The 2,153-nt window shown below is 51.9% G+C and overlaps 1 annotated feature.

The window, feature by feature from the left end:
• Window positions 1,704–1,843: a silencer, noted in NCBI's record as "silent region_188". NCBI's record gives its function as "represses an Ori minimal core promoter by ATAC-STARR-seq in GM12878 lymphoblastoid cells {active_cell/tissue: GM12878}" and the evidence as "EXISTENCE:reporter gene assay evidence [ECO:0000049][PMID:35858748]".

Genomic DNA, 2,153 nt, shown 5'->3' on the forward strand with positions numbered 1-2,153 from the left:
AGCTCGAGAGGACTTCAGGTCAAACACAGGAGTGCGGTGACTCAGCCAGGGGCGGGGTCTCATGGGAAATTCCCACCACAGCTCTGTGACAGCCCTATGAAATCATTCATTTCATATCTGCTGACCCCGAAATCCCCTAGAGCCCCCGTCCCTGCCTGATAATGGCACTTCAAATTGCTTCTTGGAAGCAGCTCTCTACTGTCAGGATGTGTCACAGATGACGCTGGGAAAACGATTTTGTCCCTTAAGATAGCTCTCCAGGACAAAGCATTTAGCATGTCCTTAAAACACTGGATTTGAGATTAGAGGAATGAAACCAAATTCAAAACAGTGATCAGCATTTTGCCATATGCGGTCCCCTAACTCCATAGTCACTGTAATGCAATAGCTGCCATTACTTGAGCACAGCCGATGTGCCAGGCATCAGAGATGCACTGCGGTGAATACACACTATCCTCGAAAGAACCCTAGAACTTGGTATGACTGCTGTTGTTACTGGGAGAACACTATGCAAATGAGGAAAGTGGGGCTGCAAGTGGAATTAGAGCGTCAACAGGACAGGGAGCAGGCAGGGTTGGAACCCAGGTCGGCCTGGTCCCTTATCGTGCTCCTCCGGGCATGGGTGACAGAGGGAGGAAGGAGGGAGAAATGGAGGGAAATGGAAACAGGGGAAGCACAGCAGTCACACGGCAAGTCAATGACCAGGACGTGGTTCGGTGAAGCTGAGAGCTAGGAGGGATTTTTAGAAAACCATGATTTCAATTTTTCTTTAAAAAAAAAAAAAGGAGAAAGAGACCAGGCGCGGTGACTCATGCCTGTAATCCCAACACTTGGGAGGCCGAGGTGGATGGATCATCTGAGGTCAGGAGTTTGACACTAGACTGTCCAACATGGCAAAAACCTGTCTCTACTAAAATTACAAAAATTAGCAGGGAATGGTGGCGGTGGACCCCTTTAATCCCAGCTACTGAGGCTGAGGCAGGAGAATCGCTTGAACCTGGGAAGTAGAGGTTGCAGTGAGCCGAGATTGCGCCACTGCACTCCAGCCACAAAAAAAAAAAAAAAAAGAAGAAGAAGAAGAAGAAGAGGAAGAGGAGGGCAGAGAAAGCAGAAGGAAAAAAAAGTACAGTAAGAGGAGAGGAGGAGTATAAGGAGAAAGAAGAGGGAGAAGAGGAGGAGGAGGAGAAAAATAAAGAGAAAAGGAGGAGGAGGAGGAAGAAGAAAAGAACAGAAAGAGAAGGGGAAGAGGAAGAGGAGAAGGAAGAATGAGGAGGAGAAAGAATGAGACGGAAGAATGAGGAGAAGGAAGAGTGAGGAGGAGAAAGAATGAGAAGGAAGAATGAGGAGAAGGAAAAAGGGGTGTTTCTGGAGGAGGAGGAGGAGGAGGAGGAGGAGGAGGAGGCGGCTGCTCCAGGCTGTAGATGAACCTGCCCATCATTGAGCAGCTGGAGAACCTCAGGAAAACCAGGGGAACTGTGGCTGGGGCAGGCGTGGGCTGGGGAAGGACATCGAGAGTAGCTTGGGCCGTCCTCCTGCCCCGCGGTTCCCAGCACGAGCTCTCCCGACAGAAGAGGAAAACGCGGCGCGACTCGGTTGGGGGACAGCGCTGAGATGCGGACAGATGCGGACGTTCTGCCGCCGCCTGCAGGCAGAGGGACTCGGAGATCAGGCCGCAGAAGCAGAAGAAGGCAGACGGGAAGGAGGAGGAAGGAAAGGAGCCTTGTGGCTTCGTGTCCGACCCTCCCGCCCTTGGCCCGCGTGCCTGGAGCCAGCCCCACCGCGCCCGCGTTTCCTCCCGCGGGACTTCCCTTGGCCCTGGGTCTGCAGCGGGTCCTGCCGAGCTTCCTTCCCTCAGGCAGCCTCTCTCTCCCTGGCCACTCTCGGGGGTGAGGGGGGTTACCGGTTCCCAGTGATTTTTATTCCCTTTGCTCTCTCACGCCTCATGTTCCCCATTCTCCTGCCTCAGTTGTGTAATCTTGAGCAAATTTCTCAACCTCCCTAACTCTGTTTTTGCAAGCACATCTTACAGGTGCAGTGACACCATACATCTTCCTCGTGAGTGAGGATTAAATGAGACGATGAGCATGAAATACTTAGCTCAATGCTTGGCACATAGTTCTCAAGAAAGTAGGAATTGCTATGATCAGACTTAC

Source organism: Homo sapiens, chromosome 1 (assembly GCF_000001405.40).
Source record: "Homo sapiens chromosome 1, GRCh38.p14 Primary Assembly".
In the NCBI taxonomy this organism is placed as follows: Eukaryota; Metazoa; Chordata; class Mammalia; order Primates; family Hominidae; genus Homo; species Homo sapiens.